At 48.4% G+C, this 20,763-nt stretch overlaps 1 pseudogene, besides 2 other annotated features; it reads left to right on the forward strand.

The window, feature by feature from the left end:
- Positions 5,211–5,260: an enhancer, noted in NCBI's record as "active region_26762". NCBI's record gives its function as "activates an Ori minimal core promoter by ATAC-STARR-seq in GM12878 lymphoblastoid cells {active_cell/tissue: GM12878}" and the evidence as "EXISTENCE:reporter gene assay evidence [ECO:0000049][PMID:35858748]".
- Positions 5,821–6,000: an enhancer, noted in NCBI's record as "active region_26763". NCBI's record gives its function as "activates an Ori minimal core promoter by ATAC-STARR-seq in GM12878 lymphoblastoid cells {active_cell/tissue: GM12878}" and the evidence as "EXISTENCE:reporter gene assay evidence [ECO:0000049][PMID:35858748]".
- ST13P17 (ST13, Hsp70 interacting protein pseudogene 17) lies at positions 12,610–14,088 on the forward strand (annotated as a pseudogene).

Genomic DNA, 20,763 nt, shown 5'->3' on the forward strand with positions numbered 1-20,763 from the left:
AAATTTAAATTTTTCTAATTTTTTTTCCAACCAGGTTCCCATCAGGGTTCAAGCATGACATTTGGCTGTTGGGTCCATTTACTCTTCATAATAACTAAAATCCCTACTTCACAGGTGAGGAAACTGAGATTCAGAGAGGTTGAGGAGCTAGTGTAGGGGTGCACGGCTCCTAAGTGGGAAAGCCAGCATGTCATTGGGCAGCTCCGGCTCCCAAACACATCTTTTCTCCCCTTTTGCTGCTTTATGCTCCCCTAGTCCTCCTGGTTCCCCGAATGTTTCATCCCCAGTCTCCCGCTGATTGAGTCCATGCAGGTCATGGGCTGGGGCAGAGGTATAGATGTTGCTCCCGTTACTAACAGACTAGGCCTCACTTTCCAGTTCCTTCAGCCACACCGCACCCCTGACCCCCATCCCCTGTAACTTTCTGAGACATCAGCCATCCAATGGGAGTGACGAGGCAGCCTCATTTTAGTGGAGGATCCACCTGCAGCTGGGCGAGGCAGAGGAGAGAGAGCTAGGCAGCTCTAGGGGAGGAACAAAAGGTAGCTTTAGGTCAAGAGTGTGGGTAAGGCAGGGACTGAGAAAACATTCCACCTGAATACACACAAGCTTATCCCGGGAGAATTGGAGAAGAGCCATGGCCAGCAGGAAAACAGCTCCCTGAGACATCTGTGTGTTGAAACAAAGGCCCTCCCTTGAGGTGGAGGTTGCAGTGAGCTGAGATCACGCCATTGCACTCCAGCCTGGGCAACAAGAGGGAAACTCCATCTCAAAAAAAAAAAAAAAAAAAGGAACATGAGGTCAGGAGTTTGAGACCAGCCTGACCAACATGGTGAAACCCCATCTCTACTAAAAATACAAAAATTAGCCAGGCTTGGTGGCACGCACCTGTAATCTCAGCTACTTGGGAGGCTGGGGCAGGAGAATCACTTGAACCCAGGAGGCGGAGGTTGCAGTGAGCTGAGATTATGCCATTGCACTTGAGCCTGGGCAACAAGAGCGAAACTCCGTCTCAAAAACAAACAAACAAAAAAACAAAACACACACACAAAAAAACTGGATCATGAGATCAGGAGTTTGAGACCAGCCTGACCAACATGGTGAAACTCCGTCTCTACTAAAAATACAAAAATTGGCTGGGCGTGGTGGCAGGCGCCTATAATCTCAGCCACTCAGGAAGCTGAGGCAGGAGAATCGCTTGAACCCGGGAGGTGGAGTTTGCAGTGAGCTGAGATTGTGGCACTGCACTCCAGCCTGGGTGACAGAGTGAGACTCCGTCTCAAAAGAAAAAACAAAACAAAACAAAACCCTCCCTTTTAGAAGCTCCATCCCCAGAATCCTTTCCTGTCCAATGCAGCACTTGTGGGATTGTAATGGTGTGGATAGACAGCTGTGGCTCAGGGATATGGGGGGCAGACCTAGCTCTCCTCTGCATTAGTGTCCCCAGCGTTAGCTGACTTTGTCGAGTCTGGGGTTCAATACTTGGAAAGACCTAGATGGGAGCAGGTAGAAGGACCAGGAGACCTGGGGGAGCAATGGAGTAGGGCTGGGCTTGGATATGTGAGACCAGGAAAAGCACTTCCTTGCATCACAGGTGTGTAACAGACTTTTCCTGCCAGGCTGTGTGGGACTCCTGTCACCAGAGACTGAGGGTAGCAAAGGGAGGAGGTACAAGTGCCCAGGAGCACCTTGGTGAAGAGGTCCCAGATTTAAGGATAATAGTATCTTCTTCCCCTCTGAACTAAATCAGCCCATTATGAATGAGATTTGCTAGTCCAAGAGTCTTGAGGCCTAAGTATCCCCCAAATCAAACAGGCCTTGCAAAAATCTAATCAAAGGCCTAGAATACACCACCAGAAAGTCATGACTAAATGTAGAAAATTGTAGTCTAATCAAATATATTAACAGCTATTATGTGTTCATGTGTGTTTTAAGACAAAGGTGGTAATTATTTCTATAATCAGGAAAAAAAGCCATGAAGAAATCATTTTCAGGGAAAAGTGGGGAGGAGTGGAGAAAAGAGTAGAATATAAGGTCTCCCAAATACAAGAATTTGGCAAGTTTCTCTAGCACTGCCCAAGATAGAGAGACACCAGATATTCTGATTCCCTGAGATGCAAGGGACTCATGCCTGCCCCATGCCACCCACTGCCAGGCTCCTAACACTGAAACCCTAAACCAATATGGGAGGGAGAGCTGGCCTGGGAAGTATCAGGGGTCCTTCACCACTAATGTGCAGGTGGCTGGGAGTCTCTCCTCAGTTTCTGTCTTAGTCCATTTTCTGTTGCTATAGCAGAATACCTGCCAGGTATTCTGAGACTGAGTAATTCACAAAGAAAAGAAAAGGCCAGGTGCAATGGTTCATGCCTATAATCCCAGCAATTTGGGAGGCCAAGGCAGACAGATCACTTGAGGTCAGGAGTTCAGGACCAGCCTGGCCAATATGGTGAAACCCCATCTCTACCAAAGATACAAAAATTAGCTGGTGTCGTGGCACATGTCTTGTAATCCCAGCTACTCAGGGGGCTGATGCAGGAGAATCACTTGAACCCAGGAGGCAGAGGTTGCAGTGAGCCAAGATCACACCACTGCACTCAAGCCTGGGCAACAGAACGAGACTTGGTCTCAAAAAAATAAAAAATGAAAAAAAGGAAAAGAAAAGAAAGTGATTTCTTATAGTTCTAAAGACTGGGAAGTCCAAGGGCATGGCAGCAGCTTCTGGTAAGGGCTTTCATGTTGCATCATAACATGGCAGCAAAGGGGAAGGGCAAGTGAGTGCAATAATTTACCCATTTATGCTGTCAAGAGAGGCATTGATTTCACTTAATGATCTAGTCACCTCTTACTAACCTCACCTCCCAACAGTGCCACATTGGGGACCAAATTTCCAACACATGAATTCTGGTGAATACACTCAACACACAGGAGCTTCCCTGTCTAACCCCTGAGCATAGGGCCAGTCTGCCCAGGCCCTGGACTCCATTTCCTGCCAGACTTTCCTTAGGTCAGTCTCACCTGAAGCTTGGCCCAGTTGTCTGTCCCAACATGGTTCCTAGCCATTCCCTTCCCTTTTTCCCTCTCATTTAAAGCTGAATCCATTAGCCTGTTGTGAAAACCTGCCATTGAAAACCGTCTACTCCACCTTGCCTCTTAGACCGGATCCTGCCTGCTTGGTCTAGAGTTTACTATTCTCCCGCAGTCTTAGTGCTACTGCCTCACCATAGGTTCCCCTCATCTATTGTGATTTCTCCAGTTCCTGTTCTGCCTAATCATGGCTCTTTCTTCCCTTCAGAAAACTCCCTGCAGGTAGAAGGAGAGGCCGTGCTGCAGTATCTCCCCCACCTTATATGAATGATCTTGTATTTGGATATACATGTGATTTGGTGACCATCTGCTTTGGCTTTTTTGTTTGTTTTGTTTTGTTTTGTTGTTTTTGAAATGGAGTCTCGCTCTGTCACACAGGCTGGAGTGCAGTGGCGTGATCTCATCTCACTGCAACCTCCACCTCCTGGGTTCAAGCGAGTCTCCTGCCTCAGCCTCCCAAGTAGCTGGGACTACAGGCACATGACACCACGCCTGGCTAATTTTTGTATTATTGGTAGAGGCGGGGTTTCACCATGTTGGCCAGGCTGGTCTTGAACTCCTGACCTCAAGTGATCTGCCCACCTTGGCCTCTCAAAGTGCTGAGATTACAGGTGTGAGCCACGGCGCCTGGCCTTGTTTGTTTTTTTTTTTTTGAGACAGAGTCTCACTGTATCACCCAGGCTGGAGTGCAGTGGCATGATCTCAGCTCACTGCAACCTCTGCCTCCCAGGTTCAAGTGATTCTCCCACCTCAGCCTCCCGAGTAGCTGGGGTTACGGGTGTGTGCTACCACTCCCAACTAATTTTTGTAATTTTAGTAGAGAGGGGTTTCACCATGTTGGCCAGGCTGGTCTTGAACTCCTGACCTCAGGTGATCCACCTGCCTCGGCCTCTCAAAGTGTTGGGATTATAGGCGTGAGCCACTGTGCCCAGCCCATGTGCTTAGTTTTTTAAGCAAGAGATTTTTAAGGAAGTTTTAAAATTTATTTTTAAATTTTTGTCTAAGAGACAGGGTCTTGCTCTGTCACTTTGGCTAGAGTGCAGTGGTGTGATCATAGCTCAGTGGTGCAATCAAAATAAATGCAGCCTTCATCTCCTGGGCTGAAGAAATCCTTTTGCCTCAGCCTCCTGAGTAGCTGGGACTGCAGGGACATAGCACAGTGCCTGGCTAGTTTTTTTAAAAAAATTTAAGAGACAGGGTCTTGGTCATGTTGCCCAGGCTGGTCTCAAATTCCTGGCCTCCAAACGAACCTCCCACCTTGACCTCCCAAAATGCTGGGATTACAGGTATTGTCCAACCTGCCCAGCCAGGGGAGAGTTTTTAAAGGGAGATCTCCTAGCTCAACCATCGTGTCTGCAGTGTGCTATCCCTGATGTCCCTGATCTCACTTTCTTTTTGAGATGGAGTTTTGCTCTCGTCGCCCAAGCTGGAGTGCAGTGGCATGATCTCAGCTCACTGCAACCTCCACCTCCTGGGTTCAAGCGATTCTTCTGCCTCACCCACCTGAGTAGCTGGGAGTACAGGTGTGTGCCACCATGCCCGGCTAATTTTTGTATTTTTAGTAGAGATGAGATTTCATCATGTTGGCCAGACTGGTCTTGAACTCCTGACCTCAAGTGATCTGTCTGCCTCAGCCTCCCAAGGGCTGGGATAACAGGCGTGAGCCACCACACCTGGCTCCTGATCTCACTTTCTTTAAAGTCCAACCCCACCGAACCTCAGGAAACAGCTGTGGAGATGAACTATTTGTTGGTTGAATCCTATCAACTTCCTCTCCTATTTCTGCATTACTGTTGTCCCTTTGGTGGACAGGGCTCCTAAAAGTCAGTGATGAGTAGTAATGTGCTTCTCAACTCTCAGGTATGAGAAATGTCACCTTCCTTATTTCCCCAAGTTACACTGTATCCAGTTCCAGCCCTCATTTGTAAAAATACATGAGAACTTCACTATGTGTGCATTCTGTGACCCCCTCCTCCCAAGAGAGTAAACAAGGACCCCAGGGCTTATTAATGTCCTGAAAAAGGATGCTCACTCTTGGGCTGTGGGTCAGAATTTTGCTGCTTCTTCTTCCTGATGTAGATGTAGTCTCCGGGCACTGGTCTTTCACTGTTTAGGATGTAGATCCCCTTGCCCTTTATGTGGCATTGACAGCCATTGCACCTGCCCACACTCTCAGGGCCACCCCCTACAGGCATCCTTCACTCACACCCTCCCCAGTCTGGGGGCCTGCCACCTCCCCAGACCCTCTGGGAACACCTGTCCCATCAGCCTCCTCCATCCTTGGGCTATTCTTAGCTCTCAGCCCATGGAAGCTTCCTTGATTCCAAACGTCCTGTATTATTATTATTTTATGAGTCTAGGCTTTTAAAAACAAAACACTCAACTCTCCCCTGGGGCTAGGCACACTTCCATTTTCAGGATAAAAAGTCCAACTGCCCTCTTCAGAGGAGGAAGCAGAAAATCTCTCTTTTTTTGGGGGGGGGGTAATGACTCAATAGGAAAGTGAAAGAGCTAATTTTAAACCAGACTCTCTCTACCCATCAGCGGGGTGTTTTTGTCACTGCTGTCAGGAGCAGGGATGATGAGTTGCTCCACTCCAGGGATCTCATTCACATCTGCACTGGGTGAATGGCACCCGCTGGGGCTAAGCAGCCCACAGCCTGCTCTGCTGAATGCGCAGCCCTGGTGAACAGCCCCTCTCCTAGAGCCTGTGCCTGGGCCCCAATGGGTTGCTAGACTGCAGAGGAAGATGTGGGGGTCTCCTCACAAGACCCTGACTACCCACTTTGGCCCGACTGTGTGGAGCTCGATGAGGACAAAGAGACTGAATTCATTTAAAACCCACCAGATTCTGGTTCCACCTGGATCTAAGAGATTGGTCCTCCCAGGGAAGTCAGGCCACTGCAGGAAAGCTGGATGTCAGGGTAGATAGCAGGGCTGGAGGCAGCGAGCAGCCTGGGCTGCTCAGGATTAAAGGGGAGACGCAAAGCCTCAGCAGCGCCACAGCCCTCTGGGGGGTCAGTTTTGCCTGATGGTCTCTCGGGCCCTGGAGTTGGCTCTATCAGGACTGAACTGGCCTGGCCACCTCTGCCTGTCCTCAGTCTGAGGTCCACTGCCCAGCCAGGCCCTGGTGCGTGTCAGTCCTGTCTTGCTTCTGTGACCTGCCTTCACCTGTTCTCTCCATCTCCTCTGCCCACCTCAGGACAGGAGAGTATGCTTCCTGAGAGCTGTCGGATATTGGGAGGATTCTGAACACTCAAGGACTTGCCTGTGTGAAACAGAGGAGGGGTCTCACATGACCACCGTGCCTCTCCAGGGACACTCACACACCCCAAAAGGGAGCAGCCCTAGAATCCAGGGATTCCCCACACCCTGCTCCCAAATCACAGTCACTCCATCCTGCAGGCCCCAAAACCAGCACACTTCAAGGCCAGATCCTCCTTTGGACCTTAATCCAAACCACGTGTCCCTTTTCTCTAGGGGCTCAGGGTTACACTCCACCTCCCGCCACACATCCAGCCCTCAGTGCCCCTATTAACCCAAAACTGGCAATGGCAGGGGGAACAACCCAGCCAGGACTTGCTATCCATGGGCATTTTGTGCCAAGCTCTTCTGTACCTGTTGGGACCACCCTCAAGGGTGCAAATCAACTGTGGCCCGGAAAAAGCCTGAAATTCCCTCATTCCCCTGAAAGTGGGAGTTGTGAGGACAGACCCTCCTTGGCCCAGGTTAATAACTCTGGCAATAACCATGGCCTTTAAGGGAGATTGGGGGCACACAACGACACTACAACACATCAACACTAACATCCATGCATATGGCTTGGCTGGGGAGGAGGGTTTCATGACAGCACCACGCGGGGTTGAATCAGACATGTGCTTTTCAAGCAGCGAGAATATCCGGTCAGATATCTGCACAGTCCTTTGTGGTACAAGCATAACATGATCACCAGCCTGTCAAATACGAGGAGTCAGGTGGCTGGAGGAAGATGGTCACAGCCCATAAAGAGGCTTTTCTCCCGAGTAAAAGCCGCATTCGTCAGTTAGAGAAGAATAAATGTCCGATGAGGAGCCTCTGGCTTCAGGGGAAATCTACTTCAGAAAATAGTTGAGGCCGGGCATGGTGGTTCATGCCTGTAATCCCAGCACTTTGGGAGGCCGAGGCAGGTGGACCATTTGAGATTAGGAGTTCGAGACCAGCCTGACCAACATGGTGAAACCTCGTATCTACTAAAAATACGAAAAAATTAGCTGGACGTGGTGCACGCCTGCAGTCCCAGCTACTCAGGAGGCTGAGGCAGGAGAATTGCTTGAACCTGGGAGGTGGACGTTGCAGTGAGCCGACATTGCGCCACTGCACTCCAGCCTGGGTGACAGAGCGAGACTCCATCTCAAAAAAAAAAAAAAAAAGAAAATAGTTTAAATGCTTTGCTAAAATTTTTAATTTCATTTTCTAAAAGTTGGTATCTGGTTGTCCTTTTCTTAATGCAAAGTGAGAACGTTCCCTACCACAGACCCAGTGAATATGATCCAGATTATGTTGCCATGAACATGTGGTCCAAAATGCCTGCTCAGGTTTTCAGGATGCAGAGTTTCGCTTTGCTGAATTCTAAGCAGATATAAATATGTTAAGGGTGAAGAGTAGAGGAGGATCAGGGTCAGATGAATGGGAGAATGAGAAAGAAAGTTGGACCAGTTTGGGTCCTAATCATAAACATCTTGAAGCCGGACGCAGTGGCTCTTGTCTGTAATCCCAGCACTTTGGGAGGCTGAGGTGGGCGGATCACTTGAGCTCAGGAGTTCGAGAACAGCCTGGGCAACATGATAGAACCCCACCTCTATTAAAAATACAAAAATTAGCCAGGCGTGGTGGCAGGCACCTGTAATCCCAGCTACTCAGGAGGCTGAGGGAGAAGAATCGCTTGAACCCAGGAGGCGGAGGTTAAAGTGAGCTGAGATTGTGCCACTGCACTCCAGCCTGGGCAACAGAGCGAGACCCCATCTCAAAAAACAAACAAACAAACAAACAAACAAAAAAACATCATGAGGGCGTCAGACAAGTGGAAATTGTCAGCCATCACTTAGCTCTGGCTGAAGTGAACAAAACCCTTCCGTAGATGTGACCGTCTTTTTTTTTTTTTTTTTGAGACAGAGTCTCACTCTGTTGCCCAGGCTGGAGTGCAGTGGCTCGATCTCTGCTAACTACAATCCCCGCCTCCCAGGTTCAAATGGTTCTCATGCCTCAGCCTCCTGAGCAGCTGCGATTACAGGTGTGTGCTACTACACCAGGCTAATTTTTTTTTTTTTTTTTTTTTTTTAGAGACGGGTTTTGCGAAGTTGCCCAGGCTAGTCGCGAGCTCCTGAGCTCAAGTGATGCGCCCACCTCAGCCTCCCAAAGTACTGGGATTACAGGCATGAGTCACTGCCTCCGATATATAGAAGTGATCTTCTAAGGGACAAATCTAACATCTCTAACGATCTTGGGACCAAGTCCATGGATCCACTGAGGTCCACCCTCCTCCCTAAGGGAATAGACACTCCTACTACTGAGTACCCATCAGAGACACCAGGCCCCCGAGGACAAAATCATTTGCCATTTTGTGATCACGGGGGCTCAGACTGCACTTTATAAATCCACATATATAACTCTGATGGGAATTTCAAGGCCCAGCTTGGGAGATCGACCATTGTCAAGTTTAAAGCTTTGCTTTCATTGCTAACAATTCTAGTTTCGTGATGAACCTTTTACACTTCAGGAAAAATCGGTTTATTATTTCACTTGTGGGTAATGGGAGTTTCTAGGGAAGTAGTTCCAAATTGGTTTGTATATAGATTCCTTGGAAACTCCAGTAAAAGTTGGGAACCCTCTCCCTAGTAAATACCTATACATTTCAGTTTCAGGGGGTCACAACCTGAAGCCCACTCATGAACAACAACATAAGGAGCCCTGGTTCCAGGCGGGAGCTCCACCAGCTGGCTTATTGATTCCACTGCATTTTTGCCCAGGACGCTTTCACAGGCCATGGGAGGGCTGTTTTCCACCTGATTCTTCAGAGCCCCAAACTGAGATGATGGGTGACTTTTATCCAGATTTAATACCAGAGTTAAATACCCTGACTCAGCCAGCATGACAGCTAGTCTGATCATTGCACTTGAGAATGGCACACTGTGATATTCAGGCAGAAAACTTTCACATGTCTGCAGGCAAAACACATCAACTAAAACAGGCATTGAAGCTATTGTCAGTTTTGAGAGATCTTCACAATGATGATGGAGAAAATGTATTTCAAAAGTTGAAGGGGTGACCTCGGCAAAGACTGTGACGACTCAGGTGCGCTGACCAGGCCCACCTGGCCTTCTGCAGACCCTCAGTTTCTCTGGCCACTAAGCTAACTCAGGGTCTGTTTTGGCCACCAAAACCTCCTTCCCCTTGGAAGTCTCTCCCCTGCCTGGATGCTTGCGGGTTTGCTGGGTGCAGAAGGTGCTTGCTTCTTGTGGCTGTGCCTGTGGGAAGGGTGGTGGGGGGCAAGGTAGTTCTGACTAGCTCGGAGGAGACTGTTCTGGGACCTAGGAGTTCTGCTCTCCCTGTCTTCAGGGTCTATAATGGAGGTGCCCTCAGGGAGGGCAGGGGGCAGGCCTCGTAGTCACTGGTGGAGCCCCCTCTGATATCCTTGTCTCCCTGAACAGTTTTCTTTTGTTTTTGTTTTTGAGACGGAATCTGGCTCTGTTGCCCAGGCTGGAGTGCAGTGGCGCGATCTCGGTTCACGGCAACCTCCACCTTCTGGGTTCAAACGATTCTCCTGCTTCAGCCTCCCAAGTAGTTGGTATTACAGGCGTGCACCATTAAACCGGGCTAATTTTTGTATTTTTAATAGAGACGAAGATTTGCCATGTTTGTCAGGCTGGTCTCGAACTCCTGGCCTTAAGTGATCTGCCCGCCTCGGCTTCCCAAAGTGCTGGGATTACAGGCGTGAGCCACCGCACCCGGCCCCATCTCTGAACACTTTTCCCACCTGCCAACAAAAGATGGGGTTTCCTAAGCCCGCAGGACTTCCAGACAAGTCTTCTGCTCTGGAGCCGCTGGGGGCTCAGTCAACATGATCCAGTGTTTGCATCAGACCAGCCTTCCTCTGGGGAGTCGGCCCCAGGACTCGTGTTGCGGAAGAGCCAAGGGCACCCAATGATGCTCCCCACCAGGGCCCGGATGAGGTGCACTGTGGGGCCGCGGAGCTCTCCTGCGCAGACCAAAAGCCCAGAGCCGCAGCGGTGGAAGGCTTCGCGTCCGAACGTAGCAGTGCTTCCTTGTTGTCACTAGAGGGCGACCGCGCGTAACAGGAAAGCAAAGCGAAGGGGGACCTCGCTCGCACCCAGGCTTGCAGAGGCAGCGTGGGGACGCGGACTTTTTCCAAGGCGGGGGCCTTGAGGCCAGAAAGGCAACGCAAGGCTGGAGAGAGCAGGAGACTCAGGAGGTGTGACTCCTAAGAGCAATTCCGGGCCGGGCGCAGTGGCTCACGCCTGTAATCCCAGCACTTTGGGAGGCCGAGGTGGGCGGATCACAAGGTCAGGAGATCGAGACCATCCTGGCTAACATAGTGAAACCCCGTCTCTACTAAAAATACAAAAAATTAGCCGGGCGTGGTGGCGGGCGCCTGTAGTCCCAGCTACTCGGGAGGCTGAGGCAGGAGAACGGCATGAACCTGGTAGGCGGAGCTTGCAGTGAGCCGAGATCGTGCCACTGCACTCCAGCCTGGGCGAAAAAGCGAGACTACGTCTCAAAAAAAAAAGCTATTCCGGCGGGGGGCGTTGGCTCACGCCTGTAATCCCAGCACTTTGGGATGCCCAGGTGGGCCTCGGCAGCGCGCGAGCGGCGATCCAAGGGCAGAACCAGAGTGGCTCTGTGTGCTCACAGCTTGTAAATTAAATAATAACTGAAATTACATAACACAACAACAACAACAACAACAATGTATGTTTGGGAGCTTGATGTGAATTCGCTCTGCCCTGCGAATGTGCCGGGCACAGGTTCCTGGGCGTCTGCTCAGGGTTCAAGGGTCGAGGCTCTCAGAGGCCATTGGTGTCACCTGTGGGTTAATAAACTGGGAAAGAATGAAGAATGGGATGGGGCTTCAGAAAGGCTGTAACCTGTTGTTTCCAAAGCCAAACCAGGGAAAATAAAGATTTAAAGGTGTCGTGTCCTTTGCAGCAACCTGGATGCAGCTGGAGGCCATTATCCTAAGTGAATTAATACAGGAACCGAAAACAAACCAAATATGCATTATTTCACTTTTTTTTGAGATGGAGTTTTGCTCTTGTTGCCCAGGCTGGAGTGCAATGGCGCCATCTTGGGTCACGGCAACCTCGGCCTCCCAGGTTCAAGTGATTCTCCTGCCTCAGCCTCCCAAGTAGCTGGGATTACAGGCACGCACCACCACGCCCGGCTAATTTTGTATTTTTAATAGAGACGGGGTTTCTCCATGTTGGTCAGGCTGGTCTCGAACTCCCGACCTCAGGTGATCCACCTGCCTCGGCCTCCCAAAGTGCTGGGATTACAGGCGTGAGCCACCGCACCTGGCCGGTTGCATCTTCTCACTTATAAGTGGGAGCTAGACATTGGGTAATTATGGACATAAAGATGGGAACAATAGACACTGGGGACTTCTAGATGGGGGAGGGAGAAGGGCAAGGGTTGAAAAACTATAGGGTACTGTGCTCAGCACTTGGGGGAAGGAACCATTTGTACTCCAAAGCTCGGCATCACATGATATGTCCAGCTTACACACCTGCACCTGTACCCCTTGAATCTAAAATAAAAGTTGGAAAAAAGATTTAAAGGTTGCATTTTTGCCCTAATCAAAATGAAAATACAGGGCCAGGCGCGGTGGCTCATGCCTGTAATCCCAGCCTTTGGAAGGCCGAGGCAGGTGGATCGCTTGAGGCCAGGAGTTCGAAACCAGCCTGGTCAACATGGTGAAATCCCATCTCTACTAAAAATACAAAAATTATTTGAACCTAGTGGCCCGCGCTTGTAATCCCAGCTACTCAAGAGGCTGAGGCAGGAGAATCACTTGAACCCAGGAGGCAGAGGTTGCAGTGAGCTGAGATCATACCGCTGCACTCCAGCCTGGGCGACAGAGTGAGACCTTGTCTCCAAAAAATAAATAAATAAATAAATAAAAGAACCAAAATGAAAATACAGTTTTAAAACTACAGGAAACAATGATTATTCATACAACTTTGGATACCTATTTAATTGGATCATAGAATGTGAGGAAAAGAAAAAAAGAACCCTGCTTTTATCCCCTAAAATGTGAATCAAGGTCTGGGCATATTTGAAAAGCAATCTGGAGATAGCTTTCTCTAGTCTTTACCTTACCTTCATTCGCAATCCATGTTCATGTGCATCATATAATGTCAGCCCTGAAATATCTCCATGAGGTCGATGGTGCCTCACTCTGTCCCATGGGGGCTGAATTCAGGTCTCAGGTCTGGACGAGGGAAAACGCCTAATAATAATTACCAAAAGTCGCCTTCTGCACGGTCACACCGAGCCAGCGCCTGGGCCTGGAACCGGGCCGCAGCCCCTCAGCCTTGCCCACCGCCTCCCGACCATGGACCCCCGCAAAGTGAACGAGCTTCGGGCCTTTGTGAAAACGTGTAAGCAGGATCCGAGCGTTCCGCACGCCGAGAAAATGCATTTCCTAAGGGAGAGGGTGGAGAGCATGGCGGGTAAAGTACCACCTGCTACTCAGAAAGCTAAATCAGAAGAAAATACCAAGGAAGAAAAACCTGATAGTAAGAAGGTGAAGGAAGACTTAAAGGCAGACTAACCATCAAGCGAGGAAAGTGATCTAGAAATTGATAATGAAGGTGTGGTTGAACCAGGCACTGATGCCCCTCAAGAAATGGGAGATGAGAATGCAGAGATAACAGAGGAGATGATGGATCAGGCAAATGAGAAAGTGGCTGCTATTGAAGCCCTAAATGATGGTGAACTGCAGACAGCCATTGACTTGTTCCCAGATGCCATCAAGCTGAATCCTCACTTGGCCATTTTGTATGCCAAGACGGCTGGTGTCTTCGTCAAATTATAGAAGCCAAATGCTGCCATCCGAGACTGTGCCAGGCACGGTGGCTCACGCCTGTAATCCCAGCACTGGGAGGGCGAGGCAGGTGGATCACGAGGTCAGGAGTTCAAGACCAGCCCGGCCAAGATGGTGAAACCCCGTCTCTACTAATAATACAAAAATTAGCTGGGTGTGGTGGCAGGCGCCTGTAATCCCAGCTACTCGGGAGGCTGAGGCAGAGAATTGCTTGAACCCGGGAGGTGGAGTTTGCAGTGAGCTAAGATCGTGCCACTGCACTCCAGCCTGGGTGACAGAGCGAGACTCCATCTCAAAAAAAAAAAAGAAAAGAAAAGAAAAGAAAAGAAATAATTCCTGATTCAGCTCAGCCTTACAAGTGTCGAGAGAAAGCACACAGACTTTCCCTTCAATTGGATTATGATGAAGATGCTAGTGCAATGCTGAAAGAAGTTCAACCTGGGGCACAGAAAATTGCAGAACATCGGAGAAAGTATGAGCGAAAACGTGAAGAACAAGAGATCAAAGAAAGAATAGAAAGAGTTAAGAAGGCTCAAGAAGAGCATGAGAGAGCCCAGAGGGAGGAAGAAGCCAGAAGACAGTCAGGAGCTCAGTACTGCTCTTTTCCAAGTGGCTTTCCTGCGGGAGTGCCTGGTAATTGTCCCAGAAGAATGTCTGGAATGGGAGGGGGCATGGCTGGAATGGCCAGAATCCCCGGACTCAATGAAATTCTTAGTGATCCAGAGATTCTTGCAGCCATGCAGGATCCAGAAATTATGTTAGCCTTCCAGGATGTGGCTCAGGACCCAGCAAACATGTCAAAATACCAGCGCAACACAAAGACTATGCATCTTATCAGTAGATTGTCAGCCAAATTTGGAGGTCAAGCGTAATGCCCTTCTGATAAAGAGAGCCCTTACTCCAGGCACGGTGGCTGATGCCTGTAATCCCAGCACTTTGGGAGGCTGAGGCGGGTGGATCACAAGGTCAGGAGTTCGAGACCAGCCTGACCAACATGGTGAAACCCAGTCTCTACTAAAAATACAAAAATTAACCGGGCATGGTGGCACATGCCTGTAATCCCAGCTACTCGGGAGTCTGAGGCAGGATAATCACTTGAACTCAGGAAGCGGAGGTTGCAGTGAGCCGAGATCACATCATTGCACTAGACAGAACTAGACTCCGTTTCAAAAAAAAAAATTATTTCAATAAAACTAATTGAGAACACCAGTATTTCAGGAGGACCTGGATAGGGACTGGAAGTACTTGGCAGGGCCGCAGCAATCTTGCTGTGTTTTATATAACATGCATCTGGCTGGCCACAGTGGCTCACACCTGTAATCCTAGCACTTTGGGAGGCCAAGGCAGGCAATCACCTGAGGTTGGGAGTTCGAGACCAGACTGACCAACATGGAGAAACCCCGTCTCTACTAAAAATACAAAATTAGCCAGGTGTGGTGGCACATGTCTATAATCCCAGCTACTTGGGAGGCTGAGGCAGGAGAATCATTTGAACCCGGGAGGCGGAGGTTGTGGTGAGCCGAGATCGCGCCATTGCACTCCAGCCTGGGCAACAAGAGTGAAACTCTGTCTCAAAAAAAAGGAAAACATGCATCCTTCAGCAGTTGCCCTTAAATCTTACACTGTGGTGAAGGGATGATTTTTTTGTAATGCTGCGGTAGAGTTGGATTATTTAGTTCTGTTCTTGTCCAGTATATCTAATAAATGTTTCATATTATTTCCACATAAAAAAATAGTTACCAAAAGTCCAATACGGTTGTGGGCAGGACACACAGCTGCTGCTTGGTCTCCCAGAGAGCTATTTCTCAAGACCTTCCTAAACCAAACGTTCAAATATGGAAGTGATTCCGGAAACATTTTTGGTTGTCACAACTGGAAGCCAGGAGTTGCTACTGGCAGCTGGTGGGTAGACACCAGGGATGCCGCCAAACATCCTACTATGCACAGGACAGCCCCCTAAAATGAGGAAGTTTCTAGTCCAAAATATGGAGAGTGTGGAAGTCGAGGAAACTTGAAATATGAGAATATTTATTTGGCTCCTTTAAAAATCGCAGTCCAGGCCAGGCATGGTGGCTGGAACCTGTAATCCCAACACTTTGGGAGGCCAAGGTGTGCGGATCACCTGAGGTGAGGAGTTCGAGACCAGCCTGGCCAACATGGTGAAACCCGGTCACTACTAAAAATACAAAACTTAGCCGGGCATGGTGGCAGGCGCCTGTAATCCCAGCTACTCAGGAGGCTGAGGCCGGAGAATCACTTGAACCTGGGAGGTAGAGGATGCAGTGAGCCAAGATTGCACCACTGCACTCCAGCCTGGGCCACAGACTGCGACTCCGTCTCAAAAAAAAAAAATAAAATAAAAATAAAAATTGCAGTCTAGAGTTGTTCCTTTGCCTGTTCTCCTACTGCACAGTAGGTAACCTTTCCATTTCCATTTCCAACAAACTTCCCAATTGTTTGACCATTTTTCAAGCCATTGTGCCAGTTCCTATCAGTTTCGGAGCAGCACGGAGAGTTCAGTAATGTGGGTGCAATAGTGAAACGGCGGTGAGATGTGGACGCTGACTAGCTGGGAGGCCCACCTGCTAGCTCTGGGAGTGTCCTTCTACACCATTCCATACCATGGGCCTTTGGTCACTCCCAAAATGAGAACACTCACTCACTAATACTCACCTGGTGTCTTACTGTGTCATATTGTATTAACGTTAGTTAAGAAGAAGTTTAGACAGCAAACATTTGCTGGCAAGTTTCAGAAGAAGAGAAATTGAACCCTGCCTTCTCCTCTAAAGGCAAAGGCCAGCCGCTGGTTGCGTGAGGACAGGTGGTGGCATCTGCACGACACCTGGGGGCGCTGTTCTTTCTACAGAGCAGCACCTACTACGATTCTGAGGGCTTCTCCATCAGCTGTGTGCTCACAGTGTGTGGTGTGTTCACTTCATGACTACTACTCCTGAGGCCGCCATCAAAACCCTTCCCGAGGCCGGGCACAGGGTCTCACACCTGTAATCCCAGCACTTTGGGAGGCTGAGGCAGGCAGATCACTTGAGGTCAGGAGTTTGAGACCAGCCTGGCCAACATGGTGAAACCCTGTCTCTACTAAAAATACAAAAATTAGCCAGGCATGGTGGCGCACCCCTGTAATCCCACCTACTCGGGAGGCTGAGGCAGGAGAATTGTTTGAACCCGGGAGGCAGAGGCTGCAGTGAGCCGAGATGGTACCACTGCATTCCAGCCTGGGTGACAGAGCAAGACTCTGTCTTGAAAACAAAAACAACAAGAACAAAACCCCCCAAAAAACGCCTTCCTGAGGTCTAGCAGTGGGATCAGGGACATGCTGAGCCGGGACCCTTCTCTGCAGATTTCCTGTCCTAGCAGGAAGGCAGTGACTGGAACATTTCTGAGCAGGCCAGCCAACGGCATCCCCTCCAGCACACTTCACAGTTCACCATGAATAATTAATCATGTGTATCATTTTCTGCCCCTCTGGTCTGCAGAGTGTTCACTCATAGGGTATTCTTTACCTCAAAATCAAATTCTACCATTTCAGACAGCTTCTGACCCAGTAATTCCACTTCTGGAAATTTCTTCCACAGAAACACTTCCACAAGGGCACAGAAGTGTATGTGCTAGGATGTTCATTGCAGCATTGTAGTAAAAATTTAGTTTGGGAGGCTGAGGCAAGAGGATCTCCTGAGGCAGGAGTTTGAGACCAACCTCGGCAATATAGTGAGACCCCATCACTACAAAAAAAACAAAAATGAGCTGGGCATGGTGGCACTTGCCTATAGCCCCAGCTACTCGGGAGGCTGAGGCAGGAGGGTTGCTTGAGCCTGGGAGGTCAAGGCTGCAGTGAGCTGTGATCACACCACTGCACTCCAGACTGCTGGGGTGACAGAGGGTTACCCTTTCTCAAAAAAATAAATAAATAAATAAATAAACGAAACAATTTAAATGTCCATCAATAGAAGAATAGGACGGGCACAGTGGCTCATACCTGTAATCCCAGCACTTTGGGAGGCTGAAGCAGGAGGATTGCTTGAGCCCAGGAGTTTGAGACCAGCCTGGGCAACATAGTGGGACACCATCTCTACAAAAAATAATTTTTAAAAATCAGCAATGGGGCTAATGGTGATGTGCACCTATAGTACCAGCTACTCAGAAAGCTAAGGCGGGAAGATGGCTTAAGGCCAGGAGGTCAAGGCTACAGTGAGCCATGATTGCTCCACTGCACTCCAATCTGAGTGACAGAGTGAGATCCTGTCTCAGAAAACAAATAAACAACAACAACAACAAAATAGAATAATGAAATAATTGTGGTAACGCCATACTCTAGAATTCTATTTTTTGTTTATTTATTTATTTTTATTATACTTTAAGTTCTAGGGTACATGTGCACAATGTGCAGGTTTGTTACATGTGTATACATGTGCCATGTTAGTGTGCTGCACCCATTAACTCGTCATTTACATTAGGTATATCTCCTAATGCTATCCCTCCCCCCTCCCCCACTATTTATTTATTTTTCATAATAAAATAGACACAGGAGTCTCACTATGTTGCCCAGAATGGTCTCGAACTCCTGGGCTCAAGCGATCCTCCCACCTTGGCCTCCCAAAGTGCTGGGATTACAGGTGTGAGCCACTGTTCCTGGCCTGCTCTGGAATTCTAGGTTAAGAATGTGATGGAGCTATATGAAATGACACAAGAAGCAAGTTTGCAGAGTGTATGAAGTCATCCCATTTGTGTGAAAAAAAGTTCATAAGGATTTATTTTGCATACATTTAAAAAGTACTTAGACGCATGTAAATAGTATGCCAAATTCTAAAGAAAAATTATTTTAAACATTTATATGTTGTTTACATGAAAACAGCCTACGTGTTAGTTTTACAATAAGAAAATCCATGCTTATTTTTGTTGTTTTATAATAGAAACAAAAAGTCTGATCAGATTTGGTTTTTTTTTCCTTAGCTAGTGTGAGTTGAGTTTTCTGTGACTCGCGGGTCCTGTTACCCTCCAGGGAAAAGGCTAATGCATGAGGCAGTGATTTTTGGCAGGATGGTTCCTAAGGCATCATTCTCCTCCAAAAGTCAGTGTTTTAGCCAGGCCCAGCTTTTTCTTGACTGTAGGTTTTGTTTCCATCAGGAAATGCTAAATATATTCCCCACTGATTCGCAGAGCTCGTTCCTAGTCTACCTTTGTGATGAGTGAGGCATGGGGTCTCTCTCTCAGGAACTTCTAATGAGAACAAGAGCCTACCAGGCGACTGAGCTGAGAGCCTGAGCTGAGTACATCATTCATCTCTGCGTTCCTGGTACCCAGCACAGTGCTTCATGCATAGCTGACGCTAATTGTTGAATGAATTTGTGGAAGGAAGAAGGAACCTTTGAGTCCTGTCAGCTTGATTCTCATGTGTCTGGGGAAGTGGGGTGTCTGGGGAAGTGGGGTGTCAGTGAAGATGGCTTACAGTTCCTGGCTGGTGAGTCCAGGTTTGCCTCCAGTGGTCCCTGTTTTGTAAGGTTATGCTCAGAGGGTCCTGCCACCCGAGAAGCACCTTATGACATCAGCACACAGGAGCAGACGCCATGCCTGGGCCTGAGCTCAGAAACAATACCCAGGAATTGATCTGACATTTCTTAGCAATTTCCAGAATGTTTCTGCTACATGATAGCTAGACATAGGCCTGGTGCAGTGGCTCATGCCTGTAATCTCAACACTTTGGGTGGCTGAGATGGGCAGATGGCTTGATCCCAGGAGTTTGAGACCAGCCTAGGCAACATAGTGAGACGCTGTCTCTATTTCATTTTTTGAAGAAAATGGGCGGGGAATGGTGGCTCGTGCCTGTAATCCCAGCACTTTGGGAGGCGGAGGTGGGCGGATCACAAGGTCAAGAGATGAAGACCATCCTGGCCAACATGGTGAAACCCTGTCTCTACTAAAAATACAAAAATTAGCTGGGTGTGGCGGCGCGTGCCTGTAGTCCCAGCTACTCGGGAGGCTGAGGCAGGAGAATCGCCTGAACCTGGGAGGTGGAGGTTGCAGTGAGCCGAGATCGCACCACTGCACTCCAGCCTGGTGACACAGCGAGATTCTGTCTCAAAAAAATCAAAACAAAACAAAACAAAAAAGAAAATAATTTTATTTTAAAAACCCAATAGCTAGACATAAACATTAACCACCTCACATATAAACATTAATCACCTCGCGTAAGCAATGGTGAGTGGTGTTAATAGCCAAAGCAAAATAAGCACTTCCGGGGCAGCTTTGGGGCCCGGGTACCAAGGAAGGGCCTGGGTGGGCTTGCAGCTGCTCTGAGCTCCTCCAAAGACCCGTTGGACCCCAAATCCAGGCCTGCGCAGAGACTAGCCCTCCCTATCCCCAGTCTTGAGCTCTTACAGCTGAGCCTCAAGTTACCCTTTTCAGCTGAAAGTATCCCCAGCCTCTGCCTCCAACCAAAAAAATGTGATGGAGGCCTCTGCTTTGCCCCAGCTCCTGCTCTAGGCCCCTGGGCCTTGCTATCAAAATCTCTTCCAGTTCACAGACTCCACACACCTATACCTACACACACCTACCTAGTGGTCTTCTCCATTCTCTGTAGGGGTAAAAATTCTAATATAGATGTTCTGAATGGGACTAAACAGTTGGGCCTGGTTAGTTGATATTCACTGAAAATGCACATGTACGCAGTTAAACATCAGAAAGATAGAAAACAGAAAAAAGAGTCTTCATTCCACCCTTCATTCCAGACCTACTACTGCCAGGTCTGCACTATAGAGATAAACACCATTAACTGTTTCTTGCGTATTCTTCCAAAAATCTATACAAACACATACACTCATCCACACCCACATGTCTTCTGTACCTTGCTTTCTTCTAACTTAATGTATCTTGGAGATTGTTCCAAATCAGGATATACACATCAGCATTATTCTTTTTAAAAAGATGCATACTATTCCAGTGTATATGTAGCTTTTTCTTCCCCAGGAAGCTTTCCCCTTTCCTCTTATAATAGCAGCCTGATTTTTGGGGGGGAATCATGTCTTCCCCATTTTCAGTTCTTTGATTTAGGTGGAGGTGACCTAGGGTTGGGCAGATGACCCAGGCCTTACCACCATGACTGGTTCAGAGATGGACACAGAACCCATGCTGGGGCAGTGCCAATCATGACCAGGACTTTCTTTGAAGTATTAAAGGAAGAGAAGCTCTTTTTTCTGCTGGCTTCACACATGAGGAGATACTGGCCTGGAGTGCTGGAAGCCAATTTCTCATGGTGTGGAGTCCGAGAATAAAGCTCGCATGGTGAAGAACAAAGCCAACATATGGAGAGAGACGGTGCTCGTCTTATTTCTTTTTAATTTTTTAATTTTTAATTTTTATTTATTTTATTTTATTTTTGACAGAGTTTTGCTCTTGTTGCCCAGGCTGGAGTGCAATGGCGCAATCTCCGCTCACTCCAACCTCTACCTCCTGAGTTCAAGCAATTCTCCTGCCTCAGCTTCCCGAGTAGCTGGAATTACAGGCGCCCGCCGACACACCTGGCTAATTTTTGTATTTTTAGTAGCAACGGGGTTTCACCATGTTGA

This window comes from Homo sapiens, chromosome 7 (genome assembly GCF_000001405.40).
Source record: "Homo sapiens chromosome 7, GRCh38.p14 Primary Assembly".
Classification (NCBI taxonomy): Eukaryota; Metazoa; Chordata; class Mammalia; order Primates; family Hominidae; genus Homo; species Homo sapiens.